Here is a 23,864-nt window from a genome sequence, read left to right as displayed (position 1 = left end):
CTTTCTTGTTTTGTCTCTGGCTGTCACTCTTTTTCCCCTGTGTATACTACACCTACTTCTCCTCCTAATCTTTTACTGAGCAAATATCTGGAACATTACAAGTAAACAAGTATCTTGTAAGTTTACATTTACATTTCACACACATGAGGCCAAGAGCTCCCTGAGGACAAAGATTGTTACCTACAAAGATTGTAGGTAACTGTGTAGTTCCTACAACACCCGGCTTAGTACTTATCTGTGCCCCAAAGGAATACATACATGAAGAAGTAGGCTTTTATCACAAATTCCTCAGTGTCTACAACAGAAAAAGTCTTTTTAAAATTGACCATTTTGTTCTAACAGTCTCTGATCCCCACTCTTGGTGCCGGCCCAGGGCCAAAGCTAATGGGTGAGGATGGAAATACAAGCACCTTCAACATCTCCTGCACCAAGTTCTTCCTGGTGGGTTTCCCTGGACTTCGAGAGTGGTGGCCCCTTCTGGTCCTGCCTCTTGTCTTCCTCTTTGTGACCATCATCTCTGCCAATGCCCTGGTCATCCACACAGTGGTTGCCCGGCAAAATCTGCATCAGCCTACGTGTATGCTCATCACTGTGCTCCTGGCTGTCAATATTCGTGCTGCCACAGCCGTGATGCCTAAAATGCTGGAGGGCTTTGTATATTATGCTAACCCCATATCGCTGCATGGCCGCCTGGCCTAGGTGTTCTTTATCTACTTCACCCTCCTCCTGGACTACAACTTCCTCTGGCCATGGCCCTGGACTGCTACGTAGCCATCTGCCACCCACTCTGCTATTCTGACCTGATGACCTCCCAGCTGCTGGGACTGCTGGCCATTCTTGCCTTGACACAGAGCCTGGGAGTGACAGTGCCCTTGGTAGTACTAACTGCAAAAGCCCGATTCTGCCGGACAGCAGTGATTCGACACTTCACCTGTGAGTGCATTGCACTGCTGAGCATAGCTTGTGGAGACCTGACCTTCAACAACTGGCTGGGGCTGGCTATGTGTTTGGTCACTGTAATCTCTGATATGGCCCTGCTGGGGACCTCCTACACCCACATCATCTATGCTGCCTTCCGGATCTCTTCTTGGGGAGCCCAAGCCAAGGCCTTACACACGTGTGGCTCCCACCTACTGGTCATCCTCTCCATCTACGTCTCTGGTCTTTCCACTTCCATCACCTTCTGAGTAGCCAAGACTGTGTCCCAGAATGTCCAGAATCTACTCAGTGCCATATACTTGCTGCTTCCAGGAGCCTTGAATCCTGTCATTTATGGGGTGAGGACTAGGGAGATCCAGCAACATGTAGAAAAGATGCTCTGTGAAAAGGAAACAGCCCAGAAGGCTGGGGAGAAGCCAAAGAGGCTGCAGAACATGAGACTGGAAACCGCCAGGGTGAGGGACTTTACTACCTTCGAAAGTTGGGGCTATGATCTCTGAGAAGAGATAAGCAGGCAGTACTCAGGGACAGGCTCAAATTTCCTCAGCAGATTACGGGCTCAACAGCAGGTTCCCTGTTGGTCAACTGTTGCTTGTTAAATTCTTAGAATGCTCTTTGTTTTCACCCCCAGTAATAAAATTGCATTTACCTATTTATCCTTCTTGGTTTATTTTCTCTGTCCTCCTCCCAACTCCTGAGGAAGTCCCAACTAATATCTGGATGTATGGGGCTTCACTAAGGTAGTCTTATAGAGCAAGTCATACAGACCACAACCTGCCCTGTCTGAACAACACCCAGTCTGAAACAAATAAACAGGCGGGCACTTCCCTGAAGCCCAGTCTCTCCCAAACATAGCCTAAGCTTGACATGAAGTTTATTCAGACCTAATACACAGGTCATCCTTGAGGCTTCCAGTCTAATCCAGGTAGCAGGCTGGGTTCTAGAGTCCAGTCAGTCCCAAACACAAGTGAGGTCCTTTCCTGAGATCCCCAAGCTGTACAGGCACATAGGTCAGGTTTACCCTGCGATGTCCAGTCTAGCCCACACAAACAGGTCAGCTCCTGCCCAAGGGTCCCCAGTCTGACACACACCCAGACCAGGTCTTCTTCGGGGTCCCAGTCTGACCCAAAGACCACAGTAGACCCTACCCTGGGAAACCCAAACTCAGCCAAACACACAGGTCACATTTTGAGGCCACCGTGCTGACCTCAGGCACACAGACAGGGTCCTGCACTGGAGCCCAAGTCTGACCCAAAAACCAGACTAAGCCCTGATCTGGGATCCAGATCAAAGTCGGAACCAAACCCATAGTCAGGCCATTCTTCCTATGACAGCCAATGTGATCTACCTAAAAGCTAACCCCTGCTTAAAAGACTTCCACAGCTCTGGCTGGGCAGTGGCTCACACCTGTAATCCCAGCACTTTGGGAGGCCGAGGCAGGCAGATCACTTGAGGCTAGGAGTTTGAGACCAGCCTGGCCAACATGGCGAAAGCCCGTCTCTACCAAAAATACAAAAATTAACCCGGTGTGGTGGCGTGCGCCTGTAGTCCCAGCTACTTGGAAGGTTGAGGCAGGAGAATCGCTTGAACCCAGGAGGCAGAGGCTGCAGTGAGCCAAGATCGAGCCACTGCACTCCAGCCTGGGCAACAGAGTGAAACTCTGTCTCAAAATTAAAACAAAAACAAAAACAAAAACAAACAAAACAAAAAAAACGTCCACAGCTCCTTATCATCTACAGAAGGGAAAAGTGTTCAGGTAATGTCCCAGAAAGGGGGTGCGGTGCCTGCACACTGCACAGAATTATCTACTAAACAAGCCTGAGTTTTTTCTTCCTGTCAGTTGATCATAGGGAACTCCCCATGAGGCCATAGGTGCAGGCTGGGGAAGAAAAGGCAGTGTAGCAGAACTGGAGACCTCGGGATTTTGGGTCACTTCTTCATGGTCACTTGTGCCTTCAGGGTTTGCTTGAGCCTGATTTTGTATATATCACTTCCATTTGATGATGGACTGCTACTGTGCATGCTCAATTTTATGGCAAGTTGAGTCGGACAACAGCCAACTCAAGTCACATGGTAATTTGGTGGCCCATGGTTAAGTGTTCAGTCTCTACTAAGGCAAACCAAAAGCTATTTCTCAAAAGGAGAGTAGTTACCCACAGGGGATGATGGCAGGGCTTCGGTCCAAAATCCTAAGGGCCTGTCCTGTGATTCACTTACAGGGGTCTGCCAAAGCCTCCAATGAGCATCTCTATCTGCCACTGCCACTTCAAGCACCACTGGATCTGATGGATCAGATGGCCCAAGTAGCAGAGAAACTTCCCTGGCAGCCTGGACCTGTGGCAGTGCCTTGTGTAGTTCTGGGCCCCAGAACTAGCAGCTTTTGGTAAACAGGATGGAGTAGCATGCCCCAGTGTGCTGCTCCAAATGAAACCTAAATTCAATGGGAGTAATTAGATTTCAGAGTGGCACGTGGAGGCACTCAGTTGCCATAACCAAGCTGGAAATGGTTACCATGATTTTTTACCTCCAAGACTCAAAGAGGTACACTAAGTATCATGCCTCTTTCTTGCTTGTAGGAGTCGTCAGATGCAACAATTTATCCTTAACCTTAGAAAGGGTATCTCGACATGCCTCACACTAGATGCCTAGAAATTGTCCTGTGTAGAAGGTGGCCCTGAATTTTAGTGAGATTTCCCACCTTCTGACATGCCAGTATTCTACCAATGAGTCTAGAGAAGTCACTACTTCTTGCTCATAGGTCCAATCGATATAATGTCACCAACGTATTGGACCAGAGTGGTATCTTGTGGAACAGAAAGCTGATCAAAATCCTGTAAACTAAACTATGATATATGGTTGGAGAGTTTATATACTCATGAGGCAGGATGGTGAAGGTGTATTGCTGGCCTTGCCGGCTGAAAACAAACTTGTTTCTGGTGGTCCTTACTAAGGGGTATGGAGAAAAAAGCATTTGCCAGATCAATAGCTGCATACCAGGTATGAGGATATGTGTTAACTTGCTCAAGCAATAGAACTGCCTCTGGTTGGAGTAATCACCCAGTTAAGCTTATGATAATCCATTGTCTTTCTCCAAAATTCGTATTTTCTGCAAAGGCCAAACAGGTGAGTTGAATGGGGATGGGGTGGAAATTATTTCTGCATACTTTAAGACCTTGATGGTGGCACTAATTTCTGGCATCCTTCCAGGAATGCAATATTGATTTTGGTTTATCATTTTCCTAGGTAGAGGCAGTTCTAGTGGCTTCCACTTGAACTTTCCCACTATAATAGCCCTCACTCAAGTCAGAGAACCAATATGGTTGGTTCTCTGTGTCAGTTGCTGAGTGTATCTATTCCAATTACGCATTCCCGAACTGCATAGTGAAATAACCACAGGATGGTTTCAGGGATCCCTGGAGCCACTGTGAGACAGACTGGAGGTAAAACTCCATTGATTACCTGACCTCCATAAGCTCCTACTCCAGCTGGAAGATCACAGTGACGTTTTAGTTTCCTGGAACTAGTGTCAGTTTAGAGTCTGTGTCCAGTAATCCTCAAAAGGTTTGATTATCTCTTTTTCCCAATGTAGTTACTAGTAAAAGGCCATAGATCCTTCTGGGAAAGGCTGGGAGAAAGATTTAACAGTATATATCTTTGATAGTGCAGTGGGATCCTTCCTCAAGGGGACTTGGTCTCCCTTTCATTTGAGGGGTTCTGGGTCTGTAAACTAGTTCAAATCTGGGAATTGATTGAGGGGCCATAATTCTGGTTTTATTATTCAAATTAGACTTGTTCACTTAACCGGAAACTCTTCTGCTTATATAGATCAAGTTAGAATTTAATAGATTCCCCATGTATTTCACCTCGAGGAACTCCATGATCATCTAGCCAAACCGTATCTCTGTGAGTCAGACTTTTTTTTTTTTTTGAGACAGAGTCTCGCTCTGTCACCTAGGCTAGAGTGCAGTGGCACAATCTCAGCTCACTGCAGCCTCTGCCGCCTGGGTTCAAGCAATTCTCCTGCCTCAGCCTCCCAAGTAGCTGGGATTACAGATGCACGCCACAACACCAGGTTAATTTTTGTATTTTTGGTAGAGACAGGCTTTCACCATGTTGGCCAGGCTGATTTCAAACTCCTGACCTCAAGTGATCTGCCTGCCTCGGCCTCCCAAAGTGCTGGGATTACAGGTGTGAGCCACTGCATCTGGCCAAGTCAGACGATTCTGATTGCTGCTTTAACTCTGCTGTCCATTATAGTAACTATTCCCACCCTGCCTTTGGCAATTAAGTGTCTCTACCTGGCACTATGGGATCCAATTACTCCCACTGAATTTAGGTTTCCCAATTCAGTGGCAGTGTAATTTCAGACCTACAGAAAAGAGCAATCACAGAGGTCTTTAAGGATGCTGAGGCTTCCCTCACAAATTTACTTCTCACAGTCATGGTGAAGTGTCCTCCAGACTTCCCTCAGGGTGGGAGAGCTGGTCTTTTAAATGATAAATCCACTCTAACATTTCGATCTCCCTAAGCCTTTGAACTACTTCCTCTATAGTATACCAAGGCAGGACTGGCATTTCAACTTCACTTAGGGCAAATTTTGGTCCATGTTTCAACCAACCAACCAACCAGCTAGAGCAGGCACTTTTCGATCCCCCATGCTGCAATATTAAATCCAAAACCTCTGCTTTGTGGGCCCCTATCAATAAACTGAGCCTGATCCAACTTTATGTTCCTTCCACCATTATCACATATCCTTAATATCCATTTCCACACATATTCTCAAATGGGAAGAATCATGTAGTTCTTTTTGAGTGTAGCACACCTCCTCATAGATCTCACTTTGTACCTCACCTTTGGGGCCTGCTGGGACTTGAATCTAGTTATAGGTTTAGAACCAAAGAGGGGTGGTCAGGGTGGGTCCTGAGGACAATCAGCAGTGTCCTGCAAGGCAATTATCTCAGAGGAAGACATCAGTTTCCTCAGGGAAAGCAGTTAATGTCAATTAGGTATAATCAGTTTGGGTAAATCAGTTAACTCTGCTTCTACTGGCAATGAAGACTCATCAGAATTTAGAGATTCAATATTACCAGCTTCAACAGGATCTTCCCATATGTCACCATTCCAATTTTCAGGATCCCATTCATTCCTAGTCAATATCCTCACTTTAATAGCAAAGGCACACTGCAAGGCTCAGAATTCAATTTGCATTGTAACTCAGGCACTTGCAAAATGAGATTCTGGGTTTGGTTTCAGAAATCTCAACTCTGCAGCTACAGAACGTAAAGTTTCTTTCAAAGCAGAAACAGAAATGTTCAGGTCTAGTACTTAAGTTGAGAATTCAAATCACTAAAGTCATCCTTTTCTTTCTCCAATTTGTCCAGTGCAATTAAAAGCAACCAGCCAATCTTATTAGTGTGACAAAAAGTTTGAAGGTATCATATATCTCTGTCAAAACAATAACTGAACATGCACTAAAGGAACAAAGACTTTGGCAATCATACGTGACAAAGAATAGTCTGAAAAATTAGTTTGGGCTGGACGTGGTGGTTCACACTTGTAATGCCAGCACTTTGGGGGGCTGAGGTGGGTGGATCAGTTGAGGCCAGGAGTTCAACACCAGCCTGGCCAACATGGCAAAACCACATTTCTACTAACACCACAAAATATAGCCAGGCATGGTGGCACACACCTGTAATCTCAGCTACTCAGGGGGCTAAGGCATGAGAATTGCCTGAATCCAGAGGCAGAGCATGCGGTGAGCCAAGATCACACCACTGCATTCTGGCCTGGGGTGACACAGCGAGACACTGTCTTAAAAAAAAAAAAAGTTTGGAAATGTCTCAAATGGAGTACTACAGTCTTCAACATAGCAATGAAACAAAAAACAGTAAGCTCTGGAGTAGGAGAATCTGATTACTGGAGTTACCTCATTATAACAGTCAAATGCCCATTTTTCAACAACAAAAATTACAAGGCATACAAAAAAAAAAAAAAAAGGAAAGAAAGAAAACATGGCCCATTCAAAGTATCAAGAAAAAATGATAGACACCATCCCTGAGAAAGCCAAGACATTGGATTTACTCAACAAAGACATTAAAACAACTGTATTAAATATACTCAAAGAGCTAAAGGAAAAGATGAACAAATAAGTAAAGGAAATCAGAAAAACAATGATTAACAAAATCAGAATATCAACAGAGACAAAAATTACAAAGAAGAATAAAAATTCTGGAGTTGAAAAGAATAACTGAAATGAAAAATTCACTAGAGGAGCACAACAATAGATTTGAGCAGGAAGAAGAGAGAATCAGAAAACTGGAAGATAGGACACTGAAATTATCAAGTCTTGGAATAGAAAGAAAAAATAAAGAAAAGTAAACAACGCCTAACAGACCTATGGAACACCGTCAAGTCAACCAATAGATGCACTATGGAAGTCCCTATAAGGAAAGAGAAAGGGGAAGAAAAATTATCTAAATAATGGCCAAAAACAACCCAAATTTAACAAAAGATGTGAATCTACAAATCCAATAAGCCCAGGAAGTCCCAAGTAGGATAAACTCAGAGACCCACACCAAGACACATTATAATGAAATTGTCAAGTCATTAAGATGGCTATTATAAAAAATATGAGCTGGGTGTGGTGGCTTACACCTGTAACCCCAAGACTTTGAGAGGCTGAGATGGGAGGATTGTTTGAGCCCAGGAGATCAAGGCTGCAGTGAGCTATGATGGTACCATTGCACTCCAGCCTGGGCAACAGAGCAAGACCGTCTCTCAAAAAACAAAACAAAACAAAAATATGAAAAATAAGTGTTGATGAAGATGTGGAGAAAATGGTACCCTATTGTATTGCTGGTGGAAATGTAAAATAATGTAGCTGCTGTGGAAAAGTTTGGTAGTTCCTCAAAAAGTTAAAGATAGAATCACCATAATTTCCAGCAACTTCACCCCTGTATACATACCCAAACAAATTGAAAGCAGGAACTCAATAGATACTTTTAAGCCAATGTTCACAAGAGCATTAGTCAAAATTCCTTAAAAGGAGGAAAGAACCCAAATGTCCATCAAAAGATAAGTGGATTAACAAAGTGTGGTAGTCCAGGTGTGGAGGCTCAGGCATTTAATCCCAGCACTTTAGGAGGCCGAGGCAAACAGATCCCTTGAGGCCACAAGTTTGAGACCAGCCTGGCCAACATGGTGAAATCTGGTCTCTACCAAAAATACAAAAATTAGCCAGGCATGGTGGCGCGCACCTATAGTCCCAGCTACTTGGAAAGCTGAGACACAAGAATCACTTATCACTTGAACCCAGGAGGTAGACGTTGTGGTGAGCCAAGCCAAGATCGTACAGCCTGGGTGACAGAGCAAGACTCTGTCTCAAAAAAAAAAAAAAAAAAGTGTGGTATACATAAAGAATGAAATTTGGATACATGCTATAACATGGATAAACTGTGAAAACATTATGCTAAATGAAATAAGCCAGACATGTATTCCATTTATACGAGGTACCTAGAAGAGGCATATTCATAGAGACAGAAAGTAGAATAGAGGTTACCAGGGACTTGGAGGGGAAAGGGGGAGTTAATGTTCTTATTGATACAGAGTTTCTGTTTGGGATGATGAAGTTCTGGAAACAAATAGTGGTGATGGTAGTATAACACTATGAATGTGCTTAAGCCACTGAATTTTATGTTTAAACATGGGTAAAATGGTAAATTGTATATTAGGTATATTTTACTACAGAAAGGAAAAGAAAAGAAAAAGGCATATAATTTCCTCCCTGAATTCTCAAAGAACAGAAAATGTGTTTTTCAAATTTGACTTTTATATGAAAGTAAATGACAAAATTAATCTCATACAATCACTTAGAAATGTTTATCTTTATTTCAGAATAACCTATAGGACCATATCCAGATAAAGGTCCTATCAGTACTTCTCATGAGTTATCACTCAGTTTTGCTTCTAGAGACCCACCAGTCAAAGCAGTAAAACTAAATCTCCTTAACAAAACTGAAGTCTTCAGAAAAGCAGTGCTAAAGGGGTGATGAAACCTTACTTAACCACTCCCTGTATGCAAGATGACTTATTTTGCATTCCTAAAACTTCTACTTTGATTCTCAATATATCCGTTTTTTTTTTCTTTTTTTCAAAAGCATTATTTTGGTGAAAATCCCAATATATGAGTTTAAAAAAAAAATCATTATCATCATTAACAGTACTTTAAATCAATTACTCCTTTTGCCTGCAACAGGGTCCAGCAAAGCCTTACCACCTCAAGCAAACCCACTATACCTATCTATGCTCAAGAAGTAGTTTGGCTACTGAAGACATGCTGGTCTCTTCCAAGTCTTTCCTCAGGATCCACACATCAGACATTCATCTCTATTCTCCAAAGAGCACACCATGGCTGCTGTGTTCCTCTCCTTCTCTTCTTCCTCTTTTGATACCTTTTCTTTATCTTTTAGCTTCTCCTTATTTAGAGTGAACTGGATTGGATTAGCCGCTGGTCTTGTCCTTAAATAATACATCCCAGTCTTCAAACCCTACAAGGAAAGTAAAGACAATTATTAGGAGAAACTCTGTGAGAATACTAGACATTCCACACCAATATTTAAAATACATTCCTGTCCAGCCGCCCCGTCCAGGAGGGAGGTGGGGGGGTCAGCCCCCGCCCGGCCAGCCACCCCGTCCGGGAGGTGAGGGGCGCCTCTGCCCGGCCGCCCCTACTGGGAAGTGAGGAGGTCCTCTGCCCGGCCAGCCGCCCCATCTGGGAAGGAGGTGGGGGGGTCAGCCCCCCGCCCGGCCAGCTGCCCCATCCGGGAGGGAGGTGGGGGTGTGAGCCCCCCGCCCGGCCAGCCGCCCCGTCCGGGAGGGAGGTTGGGGAGTCAGCCCCCAGCCCGGCCAGCCGCCCCGTCCGGGAGGGAGGTTGGGGAGTCAGCCCCCAGCCCGGCCAGCCGCCCCGTCCGGGAGGTGAGGGGCGCCTCTGCCCGGCCGCCCCTACTGGGAAGTGAGGAGCCCCTCTGCCCGGCCAGCCGCCCCGTCCGGGAGGGAGGTGGGGGGGTCAGCCCCCCGCCCGGCCAGCCGCCCCGTCCGGGAGGGAGGTGGGGGGAGTCAGCCCCCAGCCCGGCCAGCCGCCCCGTCCGGGAGGTGAGGGGCCCCTCTGCCCGGCCGCCCCTACTGGGAAGTGAGGAGCCCCTCTGCCCGGCCAGCCGCCCCGTCCGGGAGGGAGGTGGGGGGTTCAGCCCCCGGCCCGGCCAGCCGCCCCGTCCGGGAGGGAGGTGGGGGTGTGAGCCCCCCGCCCGGCCAGCCGCCCCGTCCGGGAGGGAGGTGGGGGGTCAGCCCCCCGCCTGGCCAGCCGCCCCGTCTGGGAGGTGAGGGGCGCCTCTGCCCCGCCGCCCCGTCTGGGATGTGAGGAGCACCTCTGCCTGGCCACCACCCCGTCTGGGAGGTGTGCCCAACAGCTCATTGAGAACGGGCCAAGATGACAATGGCGGCTTTGTGGAATAGAAGGGCGGGAAAGGTGGGGAAAAGATTGAGAAATCGGATGGTTGCCGTGTCTGTGTAGAAAGAAGTAGACACGGGAGACTTTTCATTTTGTTCTGTACTAAGAAAAATTCTTCTGCCTTGTGAGCCTGTTGATCAGTGACCTTACCCCCAACCCTGTGCTCTCTGAAACATGTGCTGTGTCCACTCAGGGTTAAATGGATTAAGGGCGGTGCAAGATGTGCTTTGTTAAACAGATGCTTGAAGGCAGCATGCTCGTTAAGAGTCATCACCACTCCCTAATCTCAAGTACCCAGGGACACAAACACTGCGGAAGGCCGCAGGGTCCTCTGCCTAGGAAAACCAGAGACCTTTGTTCACTTGTTTATCTGCTGACCCTCCCTCTACTATTGTCCTATGACCCTGCCAAATCCCCCTCTGTGAGAAACACCCAAGAATGATCAATAAAAATAAATAAATAAATAAATAAAAAGAAAAAACAAACAAACAAACAAACAAAAAAATACATTCCTGGCTGGGCGCTGTGGCTCATGCCTGTAATCCCCCAAGAGGGGTAGTACATGCCTATAAATTTCAGCTACTCAGGAGGCTGAGGTTGCAGTGAGCCAAGACTGTATCATTGCACTCCAGCCTGGGCAACAGAGCGAGACTCCGTCTAAAAAAGTATAAAATAAAATAAAACAATAATATTAAAATAAAATAAAATACATTCCTGGCCAGGCACAGTGGCTCACACCTGTAATTCGAGCACTTTGGGAGGCCGAGGCAGGTGAATTGCTTGAGGCCAGGAGTTTGAGACCAGCCTGGCCAACATGGCAAAACCCCATCTCTAATAAAAATACAAAAATTAGCCAGGTGTGTTGGCACACACCTGTGATCCTAGCTACTCAGGAGGCTAAGACATGAGAATCACTTGAACCCAGGACAGAGGTTGCAGTGAGCCAAGATCATGCCGCTGTACTCCAGCCGGGGCAACAGAGTGAGTCTCTGTCTCAAAATACATACATACATACATAAAATAAAATACATTCCCATGAACCAGATCAAACTTTTTTTAAACTTGGAATTCTATCTCCTCTAGGAGTACTCTCAAAAATGCTTTGTGAGTCAGACAGAAATATCCTGTTCTTTTCACTCCTAAAACAGGCTTATCTCTTTGGAAAGGTCAAACATTTTTATTCTTTTGTCTTTGTTTTTATGCATATGACTTCCAGGTTTGCCCAAGACAATATGTCTGCCTTAGGTTATAACTGTTTAGAGAGCTAGACTGTGTCTCTGTGTAACAACAGACTATAAGACTTCAAAGATAAAGATCATCATCTTCTATTCAGTATCCTCAGTCCTGGCACATACTAGATGTTCAATAAATGTTAAATTAAAAAACAAATTTATAATTCTACTTAAATACCCAATACATTATCAGGGAATAAGAACATAATCCAAAATCACCAGACTTTACAGCTGGCAACGACTAGCTAAGTAAGCTGGCTTTCACTTTATAAAGTGAGAAAACAATGGATGTTTTTGAATAGCGGGTTGACGTGTGCAAAGTTTTATCTGAGGAATGGTGGTAATGCACACAAAATGGCTGGGAGCAGAGATCCTAGAAGCAATAAGGTCAGTTTAGAATAACAGCAGCAGAAAAGGAAGGAAGATATTTAAGAAATAATACAAAGGAACAATCAACACAACTTGGTAATTGTACGGACAGTAAAGGAAGGAAAGCATCACAGGTAACTACAAGGTTTCAAACCTAAGAAGGAAATAAACCTAACAGAAACAAGAAAATCCAAGGCAAGACCCTGTTCTGGTACAAAAACCATGGGTTGGTTTTAACGTTCTGGATTTGAACTTAAAGAACTTCTAGGTGATAATATTTAATAGGTGGCTAAAACATAAAATCATTCCAATGCCAAAATATCTCAAGCTGGCAATTAAGTACTCCTTGATATTCTCTACCAACCTGCTTCCAGCCGTAGAAGTGCATACTAGTGAGTTTGCCATAGTTAGGCTCAGCAATGTGGATGTTCAAAGATTGGCTTTGATCAATGAAAGCACCTCTCTCAGCTGCCATCTTGAGAACAGTTTTCTGAGAGATTTCCCACACAGTTTTATAAAGTTGCTTCAGGTCATCAGGAATTTCTGGTATGCTCTAAAGAAGGAAAACCCAATGTTTACTTTACTCCAGTTAAAGAAAGCAGTGTATGATTAATAGAATAGTGACACAAGCTTTGATCTTCATTTTACTTCCTGCCAGATCTGACCTTACCATTCAGTATCATATGATATGATCCTTATCAAGTTTACCAAGACTATTTAGAAAGTTGAACAAAACCCCCATCTAACCAACCAAATATCAATCTGGTGATAGTAATTTCAGCATCCCTTTTTTGTTGGTCATAAACCAATTTTTTAATTTTTTAATTGATTTATGACCCAAACATTCATTCTTCTAGAGGCACTTAAAGAAAGGAAAAGTCAGAGCTAAGCAGCAATAAATGACCCTTGAGTTTTGCAGAAAACACAAAAAATAAGGGCTGTAATTCACAGGGACCAAGGGAAGCAATGAGATAAAACCCTTTAAATAAGCTAGGATTTCAAACTCCCTTTGGAATCCAAAATCAGGTTTTCTTAGGCCTAGGGTTAACTTTCATTAAAACACACAGACTGGCTAATGCTACAGTTTCTGTCATTAAATATGGAACTGTTATAGGACTCTTCATCTGTGTTGCTAAGCAGACCAACATTTAGCCAGACACCTCTATCTGCAAATAAATGCCTCTTGACTCTTAGTTGCAAATATTTACACGATTTGTGACTCTGTCTTTTGGACTATCAGTCGTCAACCATGATTTTTAATTAAGCTTGACTCTCTTAATTTCAGTCTTTCTATCTATGATCCCCCAAATTTTGATATACTTTGGAATCACCAAAAGAATCTTTAAAAATTATTGATGTCTGAGGCCAGGCACGGTGGCTCATGCATGTAATCCTAGCACCCTGGGAGGCCAAGGCAGGCGGATCACCTGAGGTCAGGAGCCTGGCCAATATGGTGAAACCCTGTCTCTACTAAAAATACAAAAAACAGCCGGGCGTGGTGGCAGGCACCTGTAATCCCAGCTACTTGGGAGGCTGAGGCAGGAGAATCGCTTGAACCTAGGAGGCAGAGGTTGCAGTGAGCCATGATTCCACCACTGCACTCCAGCCTGGGCGACAGAGACTTCGTCTCAAAAAAAAAAAAAAAAAAAAAAAATTGATGTCTGGTTCCTGTTCCTAGACATTTAATTGGTAAGGAATGCAACCTAAGCTTCAGGATTTTAAAAGCTCCCCAGTTGATTCTAAGATGCAGAAAAATTGAGAACTACTTTTTTATATTATTGCATAAAAACAAGATGGTAAGGGTTATGTAAAGATGTGTACAATCCTAGCACAACAATGCAGAGGTGAACAGAGCTACACAAGCAAAACCTAGATGAACACAATGAAGTCATTCTCTCCATTGTCTAGCATGAGTGAGGAGGTACCACAATGTCCAACTCAGCCCCTGCAGAGCACACTTCATTTTCATTCTATACCTGAATAGAGCCATTGCATGCAATAATCTGGTTTTTCATCTCTTCATGCCATAGGCCCCGCTCGGTAAGATCTTTCAATAAGTGAGGATTTACAATCTGAATGGAAAAGCAGAAAATGTATGAAGAAATAAATAACAGTGACTGCTTAGAAAAGACTACAGCTTTGAAGCTTAAACTAAAATCACTTAAGAGTTATTTAATGCTAGATTGCTTGGTAAATTCTATCTTTTATAAAGACGAGACATCAATGCCACCACACGAAAGCTATATTCCTTTAAGATCTTGACATCTGTTATTCAAGAAACAATATAATTAGCCAGGCATGGTGGCGCAGCATGCCTGTAATCCCAGCTACTCAGGAGGCTGAGGCATGAGAATTGCTTGAACCCAGGAGGCAGAGGCTGCAGTGAGCCAAGATCATGCCACTGCACTCCAGCCTGGGTGACAAAGTGAGACATTTTCTCAAAAACAGTATCGACAACAAAAACATTGTGGTGTGGTAATCGTTATATAATATATACACATATCTAATCATTACACTGTATACCTTGGTTTTATACACAATTTTTATTGTCAATTATACCTTAATAAAGCTGAAAAAATATTTTCATTAAAAAAGAAACATATGGCGTTTGCAAAAGTGAAAAGAATAGCGCCTAAGATGGGTAAATCTATAAATACTTAGGTTAAAAAAATTGGAAACGTATCCTTCTCGAACTTTACAGAACTTTACTTCAAGATATCTGGAAATTCACAAATAGTCTTTTAAATTGAGGTTCTCAACCCTAGCTACACATAAGAATTACCTGGGAACCTTAAAAACAAAGAAAAAACCACTGGTCTCACCCACCATAAATTCTAATTGGTAACCAAGTCTGAGAACCACTGCCTTAAATGATACTTCTTTATACATTTTGAGTATCCTAACTTAAGCATCTGGGAGAAGTTATAGAATATATCACTATGATTACATAATGGTTAAACATCATGTTTAACTATCAACAACTTACTTTCATACTCGACCCTCATTCACTCATTCTTTCAACAGATTATTTATTAAATGCCTATTGTGCTGAAATATTAATAACAAATAATAATATTAGAGATGAAGATGACTGTCTTTATCAAAGTTTGCACCCAAACTAAGAAAATGGGCAAATTAAACATGAGTGAGCATTTACTCCCAACATCAGGCTTTTGAAAGATCTCCCTGTAAGGCTGGTTGTGAACTGCTCACCTGAAATTCTCCTGACAAGACTCTGCGAGTATAGATGTTGCTGGTGTAAGGTTCAATGGACTCATTATTCCCCAGGATCTGAGCAGTGGAAGCTGTAGGCATCGGGGCAATAAGTAAACTGTTTCTTATACCATACCTAAAGAAAAGGAGATTATCAGGTACTAGTCCCAAAGCTACAATCTGCCAGGAAAGCAGCTACTTTAAGTCACTGTAGTAAATGTAGATAAATGTAGTAAATGTAAATGTAACATCGTACATGCATTGAACTCACACGTTGACTTTCAAATTAAACTCCTACAGGGAGGCAATTCCACAGTATGGGTGCTATTATAGCCCACTCTCCTCTTAAATGCCTGACTCCTAAACTGAATTAGTACAATTTTTATTGTTGGCTATCCTTATCATACCATGATTTATGCCACTTGGACTGTGGCACTCAGGAATCATAACACTTGATACACTATCTTGCGTAGGGAAATATTCAAATCACTGTTGAAGCGCTCCCCACCTGTATTAGGTTACACTCATCCAACCCTCACTCTTTTCCAAGTGCCTATAAAATCATTGTGCTAGGCCCCTTCTGGAAAAATAATGATGAGAAAGTGTTCAGAATCAGAGAAATATCACCACAATTCTCCATTATCCTGTAAAGAGGAAGAAATTATGCTCAAAGTATATTCTTCAATTATAAGTTCCTGCAAGAAGGTTAACATCTTTTGACTAATAAGAGAAAATACACTATCTGACACACTGAGAAATCTCCCAACTGCCCCTGGCTCACCTTCAAAGCTCAGCCTAATTGATAGCAATTTTAAAACATCTTTCCTCATCAGGCAGGCACAAATACAAATGTCAAATACAAATATCTACTCTGCAAACATTTTCTCTGACCTGTACCTTTCCGTATACCTTAACTACTTGTTTTCTTAGTCTCAAGTTTTTAAAACACAAAGAGCCTGTCTTTCCTACATTCTATACCTATGGATTCATACAGTGCTTAGCATACAGCCTCATATCCTGACGGAGTCTGTACAACTGGATATAGTTTGGCTGTGTCCCCACCCAAATCTCATCTTGAACTGTAGTTCCCATAATCCCCACGTTACGGGAGGGACCTGGCGGGAGGTAATTTAATCACAGAGGAGGTTACCCTCATGCTGTTCTCATGAGATAGTGAGTTCTCACAAGATCTGGTTTTATAAGGGGCTTTTCTCCCTTTACTCAGCACTTTGCTTGCCGCCGTATTAAAGAAGGACCTGTTTGCCTCCCCTTCTGCTATGATTGTAAGTTTCCTGAGGCCTCCCCAACCCTGCGGAACTGTGAGTCAATTAAACCTCTTTCCTTTTTAAATTACCCAGTCTCAGGCAGTTCTTTATAACTGTGTGAGAATCGACTAATACAACTGGGTTCTCTACTTTTTAGTTATTATTATTTTTTTATTTACTTTTTTTGGGGGGTGGTTCTCCACCTTACTCTGTCACTTTGTAGTGAGGTATCAAGCAAACCACCAACTATCTTCATGTCTTTACTTCCTCATCTGTAAAATAGCAACATCATCTGTCTACAGACAGGTAAATGTTGTGAAAAGTCCTACATATATGATATATTCAAACTATGGAATTGTCTATAATAATTAAAAACATTAGGTAGACCTACAGGTACTAAAAGAGAAAGAGCTCCAAAATAAATCACTAAATAACAAGTCTCAGAATACATCAAGTCTTTTTTTTGAGACAGAGTCACAGTTACCTAGGCTGGAGTACAGTGGCATGATCTCGGCTCCCTGTAATCTCCACCTCCTAGGTTCAAGTGATTCTCATGTCTCAGCCTCCCAAGTAGCTGGGATTACAGGCATGCACCACCACGCCCAGCTAATTTTTGTATTTTTAGTAGAGACTAAGTTTCGCCATGTTGCCCAAGCTGGTCTTGAACTCCTGACCTCAAGTGATCCACCCACCTCAGCCTCTCAAAGTGCTGGGATTACAGACGTGAGTCATGGTGCCCAGCCCAGAATACATCAAGTTTGATCACATTTATATGACAAAACCGTGTATGTGTACCTATCTGCAAATGTACTGAAAAAGATCTAGAAAAATACACACCATTAACAAGTCTTATCTCTGGGAAAAAGAATAAGTTACTTTTTTGGTTTGTTTTCTGAGACAAATGGTTGGCAGAAGTATGAAGAAGGGCTTTTACTTTCTATTTTATTTCTGTATTTGAGCTTTATTAATAATAAATTTGTGTTCATATACTAATTTTGAAATTAGAAAAAAAGTCATGTATATAAAAAACTAAGCCATAGTATTTTGAGGGGAAAAAAAAAAAAAAAAAATATATATATATATATATATAAATACAGTACAGGTCCATTTTCTTAAAAGTTGAATTTCCATGTAAATACACATGTATGTGTACTCTTGGAAGAAAACCTAAAGGATGACAGACACTAAGATGCACACAGGTTTTCTGGGGGAGGCAGTATTAGTATAATTTTCATTTTCTCTTTCCAAATCTATGTTTTCCTAAATTTTCTAACATGTATTATTTGAGTAGGAAAACAATTTTAATTTAACAATTTTAAGGCAAACGGTTATTTTTTTTAAAGAGCATTTTAAAGCTACTGCTTCATTCTCCAAATATTAATCACTTTGCATATGCATTAACCCATAAATGACAAAGTCATCACGATAGAAAACAAAAACAATTTGCTTTGTTATTCACTCTGCAAAACATTCTGTCTGCCTTCGAATCCCTTATGCTTATTAGTTTGAAAGGCCTACAAAAACTCAATTTAAAAATTTTTTTTTCATATAGTCTAAACACATTACCCTCCAAAAACTCTTCCAAAATCCATTATTCCTATGACAATCAATTCAAACAAAAGCCATTTATATGCCCGATGTAACTAAATTGGGAAATAAATAAGAATGAAAAACATTTAAAAAAAAAAATCATAGTTGGAAAAAAGCCTTAATGAGAAAGAAAATTACCTAATCTAGGTGTGTTAAGTCCCTAAAATAAGATCAACTAATAATAGTAATTCCTACCAGGTACTGAAATGCTTTCATTGTGCCAAGCAACTTCCAGGTTACTATATATATTATCTTACGAAGTTTTTTCCCAAAATAGTTTTGTGAGATAGGCCATTTTAGCCCCATTTGTAATAAATGAGTTTAAGAAGTTAAAATGACATATCTAACTTCTGAAGATCCAGAAGGTGAACCTAAACCCTTCTGCCTTCAAAGCTACTTTACATCTTTTCACTTACTTTGCAATCTTCTCCTTGAGAACCTTCCAGTCCCATAGGTCTGTAGGAGTAACATTCCACATATCATACTGAAGAATCTAAGGAATACACAACTCAAATTTATTCTACAGCAAGTTAAAACTATGACCAAAAAAAAAAAAAACCCACAAATGACTAGCTGCCATGTCCCCACATCCCAACAAATGCTGTCTTCTAATCAACCTCTATGAGGAATACAAGCTCCAGAGATTTTCCTGGACAAAATTCCATGTAGTCATATTGATCAGAAGCAGGCTAAGAAAACTGATTATCCCATGTCATATCTACAAACCAGAAAACTCTAACATTCATAAAAGGGTGTGGCTGACACATTCTCTTTTTTTAACACTAAAAATGTTACTTTCTTCAGTGCCTTCATCTGTCCCTTGATCTGTTTACTTAGCTAAAAACACCTATTTTCTAATAACCACACATTAGATTTTCTAATATCAGCAGGAATGTCAGAAATGAAATTAACATTTTATATAGTAAAGAATCATAGTACTGATAATAAAGGCAGTGGGAAAGGCAGAATTCTAAGACAGCTTCCCAGATTCCCACACCTTGGTGCACAGGCTATTTATAATCTCCACTTGAGTATGGACATGACTTGAGAATAGGATGCATGTCACTCCAGCGATTATGGCAAAGGTGAAAGGTTTCTGCAGATGTAATTAAGGTTGCAAATCAGCCGATTCTGAGTTAAATAAAAGGAAGATTACGCCAGGTGCAGTGATTCATGCCTGTAATCCCAGCACTTTGGGAGGCCAAGGCAGGCGGATCACTTGAGGTCACAAGTTCAAGACCAGCCTGGCCAACATGGCAAAACCCCATCTCTACTAACTCGGGAGACTTGAGGCAGCAGAACTGCTTCAACCTGAGAAGCAGAGGTTGCAGTGATCTAAGATCACACCACACACTCCAGCCTGGGTAACAAAGTGAGACTCTGTCTCAAAAAAAAAAAAAAAAAAGCGGGACAGGGGGGTGGTGAGGACATTATCCTATGTGGACCTAACTTATCAGGTGAAAACCCTCAAAAGAGACTAGACTGTGCCCCTTTTGAAACGAGAGATGGTCTCTCCCACTGGCCTTAAAGAAGCAAGATGCCATGAGTCCTTGAAATATATTCTGCCAACAACCAGGTAAGCTTGGAAGAGAACTCTGTGTCTCAGACGAGATCACAGCCCTTACCAACATCTTGAACACAGACCCAGAAAAGAAGGCCCAGCTAAGCTAAGTCTGGACTCCTGACCTGTGGAAACTGTGAGATAACGAATGCCATGTTTTAACCCACAGAAAACTAACATTGGCAGCATCCCTCTTACATTATTTTAGCAATGACTAGTTCTAAATAAGAGATTAAAACAGAGTATCCTTTTTACTCCAGAGGACAAAGGTATTTAAGTTTCCTATGGCTGGTGCAACAAATTACTAAAAACTTGGTAACTTAACAAAAATTTATTCTCTCATAGTTCTGAAGACCAGAAGCCCAAAATCAACATGTTGGGAGGGCCACACTCCCTCCAGAGGCACTAGAAGAGATTCTGTTCCTTGCCTCTTATAACTTCTAGTGGTTATCAGCATTCCAAGGCTTGTGGTTGTAACACTCCAATTTCTGCCTCCATAGTCACGTTGCTTCCCCTTCTGTGCCTCTTGCAGGACAACTGTCATTAGATTTAGGGCTCACCTGGATAATCCAGGTAAATCTCCTTATCTCAAGGTTCTTAATTACATCTGCAAAATACCTTTTTTTGAACCAAATGAAATTAAATTCACAGGTTCCAGGAATTAGGATGTGGACATATCCTTTTGTGGGGTCACCATTCAGCCCACTACAGGTACTCACAGGCAAAAACAATTCCATCCATATACTTACTCCTTTGCTAACTGGAGAGCCCTCATAGGTTTCGTATGGGCCCTGCTCCTTGGCAAGGTCACAGCTGGCTTCCAGAGCACCATAATAAATAGTTTCAAAGATCTGCTTATTCAGTAACTGGGCTTCTGCACTCTCAAAAGGGTATCTCATCAGGATAAAAGCATCTGCCAGACCTTGTACCCCAATTCCAATGGGGCGATGGCGTTTATTTGATAGGCATGCCTTTGTGTCAACAGATTTTAAAGAAAAGGAGAAAACATTACTGAACAGGAAAAGCAACATTCTGTACCAAATGAGACAGACTACCTCTTTTTCTCAAACCATTTTATTGATAACCATTTAAATGATGACTTGAAGATCATGATTGATTCCTTTCAATTTGGATTTCAATAATTACCAATAAGCAGAGAAATCTATTCATACCTCTGGTACAGGATAGTAGTTTATATCAATAATTTTATTCAAGTTTCGGACAACGACTTTAGTGACTTCAGCCAACTTCTTAAAGTCGTATGTGTGTTCTGATGTGACATACATATTCAGGGCCAGGGAAGCCAAATTACAAACAGCAACCTGGAATGCAAAAAACAGGTCAAGAATCACACAATTTTTATTTCTACTTCCTGTGTCAATTACACCACCATGTGAGCCTCTAATACTCAGACATTAAAATTTTAAATTTTTATATTTGACTTCTCCCTCTTCATCATTCATCAGTCCATTTCTAAATCCCACTGATTCTATTTCTTCAATACCTAGTCATATGTGTTAGTTATAACATGCATCAGCAAAATAGGTAAGAGAGAGAGAGAACCCTATGTTCCACAGTACACAGCTCTATTACCAGACATATATCACACTATGTTATAATTAGCTTTTTACATATACCTATCTCATTATTCAGTAGATGAGTGCCCTGCAATATGGTAGCCACTGGCTACATATATCTATTTAAAATGAAATAAAATTTGAGTTTCTCAGTTGCACTAGTCATATTTCAAGTGCTCAATAGCCATCAGATACAGAACATTTCCATCACTGCAGAGTTCTTCAAAACACACACGTCCACCTCACCTTCACTGATATTCTGACAAGCCCTTAGCAACAATGGATCTCAATTTGTGATTTCTGAAAAAGCTCTTCCAGTGATTTCTCCACTACACGAGGCAGTGAGCTTCTTCACACAAGGATCATCTTATTTATATTTATATGTTTAGCACTAGCAACACATCTGGCACACAGTAAGTCTTGATAATGTTGAATGAATACACTTTCTTTTCCATTTTGATTATGACTATCCCAAGCCAAAGTCTTAACTTCTCTCACATGGACTACTGAAAGTTTCCCAGTTGAACTCTTGATGCCCTTCACATCTACTCCATTCTACACATGTTGCCAAATACCCATTTTTTTAAATATAGCTTGAATCACAGAAGTCTAATAAATGCCAGGAAGAAAAATAGGCAGGAAAAGAAGACAGAGAGTACTGGGGATAAAGATGAAGGGGGTATAATTTTTAAACAGAATTGTCAAGAAGGACCTCATTGAAAATGTTACATATGAACAAAGAACTGAACAGGTTAGAAAGCAAATCATGTGGCTATGGGAAGAGGGGGTGCATTTTAACATTCAAGAGGGAAGAAGGAGCAAAAATCCTGAGGTAGGAGCATGGTTGACATGTTTGAGAAAAAGCAAGAAAATTAATAGGGTTGGAGCAAAGTGAACAAAGGGGAAAGTAACCGCAGATGAGGTGGGTTATCCAGTTGTGTAGGACCTTGTAGGGCACTGTAAGAACTCTGGATGGAAAGGAATGAAGTACTGATACATGCTACAACATGAATAAAAGAACATGTTAAGTGAAAGAAGCCTGACACAAAAGGCCACATATTATATGACTCCATTCCTATGGAATGTCCACAATGTCCACAAATCTAGAGACAGAAAATATATTAGTGGTTGTCAAGGGCTGAGGGAAGAAGGGAACAGGGAGTGACTGCTAATGGATAAAGGGTTTCATTATCTACAGTGATAAAAATGTACTACAGGCCGGTCACGGTGGCTCACGCCTGTAATCCCAACACTTTGGGAGGCTGAGGTGGGCGGATCACGAGGTCAAGAGATTGAGACCATCCTGGCCAACATAGTGAAACCTCGTCCCTACTAAAAATACAAAAATTAGCTGGGTGTGGTGGCACGCGCCTGTAGTCCCAGCTACTCGGGAGGCTGAGGCAGGAGAATCGCTTGAATCCAGGAGGCGGAGGTTGCAGTGAGCCGAGATCGAGCCACTACACTCCAGCCTGGTGACAGAGCAAGACTCTGTCTCAAAAAAAAAAAAATAAAATAAATAAATACTACAATTAGATAGTGGTAATGGTTGCACAGACTTGCAGATATACTAAAAAAAAGAAAAGAAAAGAAAAGAAAAAAAACACTGAATTGTACATTTTAAAAAGAGTGAATTATAGCTCAATTTGCAAAAAGAAAGAACTCTGTTGAGGTTGCAGTGAGCCACAGCCCAGCTTGGGCAACAGAGTGAAATCTTGACGCCCCCCGAAAAAAAAGGAATTCTGCATGGGTTAGCAAGCCAAAGAGTAGTTTTGTGCAGACAAATGACATTATCTGATTTTTATTTTAAAAATGTCACTCTAGCCTCTATAATATAATCTGTCTTGCATAATAGTTACCTCAATATATGTCGATGTCTTCCAACTAAATTAGAAGTTTCCAGAGGGCAGCATATTTATTTATATTCTCAGAGCACTTAACATTGTGTTTTACATATAGCTACTGCACAATAAATTTTGAATTAAACTGTAACCTTAGCAGTATATTTAACTCACTTTCCATTTACTTCCTGACTTTTCATTTGTCTTTTTTTTTAAGGTCCTAGAATTGAGGATCTACTCCTTCCTCGTTTCCATAGTTTACATCCAAGATCAAAGCAGCCTGTCATCCAACTAGTACAACAATCTCCCTAGGCTAACCTCTAATCCCTTCTCACAGCAAGACACTCTGTAACCAGAAGCAAGAACCTTCCTTTTCATCTTAACATTTTGATGCTATTTTCCTCTCAGAAACCTACAAGGGCTACCTATCCGTGACGTGTCAGCTTCTACCTTCTATCTCCCTTCCCCCAGCCATAGCCATCTCTCCATATTCCAATAATTAATCTACTTGCACCATCAAAACAGACTTACTTGCCACACTGCATAAAACCCAGCCCTGTCTCTGGTGTATCATACAGACCACTCTTTCCAAATGGAAAGCTCCTCTCTCAAACTTTTTTTTAAAACACCAAATCCATGTCCCATTTCTAGCCTTGATTCTTCTGTGAAGTCTCTTTACAGACTTGAGATTAGAATTTGATCTCACCATTCACTGAAAGGACTCTCTTTATAAGCTTACATACTTTTGTTGTTGTTGTTTTTGGTTTTTTGTTTG

At 41.7% G+C, this 23,864-nt stretch overlaps 1 protein-coding gene and 1 pseudogene across 4 annotated transcripts in view; one reads left to right on the top strand and one right to left on the bottom strand.

Moving 5' to 3' along the window:
* Positions 386–1,365, top strand: OR55B1P (olfactory receptor family 55 subfamily B member 1 pseudogene; annotated as a pseudogene).
* The window catches only part of RRM1 (ribonucleotide reductase catalytic subunit M1), a 44,248-nt gene continuing 29,131 nt past the window's right edge, over positions 8,748–23,864 (bottom strand). For 3 of the 4 annotated variants that reach the window (NM_001318064.1, NM_001318065.1, NM_001330193.1), the window contains 7 exons: positions 20,847–20,996; positions 20,424–20,645; positions 18,530–18,606; positions 15,259–15,394; positions 14,022–14,117; positions 12,410–12,598; positions 8,755–9,485 (listed from right to left, as the gene is read on the bottom strand). In NM_001318064.1, the coding sequence (NP_001304993.1) occupies positions 9,297–9,485; positions 12,410–12,598; positions 14,022–14,117; positions 15,259–15,394; positions 18,530–18,606; positions 20,424–20,645; positions 20,847–20,996 (1,059 nt within the window). In that variant the 3' untranslated portion in view covers positions 8,755–9,296. Of the gene's footprint in view, positions 9,486–12,409; positions 12,599–14,021; positions 14,118–15,258; positions 15,395–18,529; positions 18,607–20,423; positions 20,646–20,846; positions 20,997–23,864 lie in introns of all 4 variants that reach the window. The other variant, NM_001033.5, reaches the window with a different exon arrangement.

This window comes from Homo sapiens, chromosome 11 (genome assembly GCF_000001405.40).
Source record: "Homo sapiens chromosome 11, GRCh38.p14 Primary Assembly".
In the NCBI taxonomy this organism is placed as follows: Eukaryota; Metazoa; Chordata; class Mammalia; order Primates; family Hominidae; genus Homo; species Homo sapiens.
The sequence above is the reverse complement of the archived record's forward strand: the minus strand, read 5'-3'. Positions and strand labels throughout refer to the sequence as shown.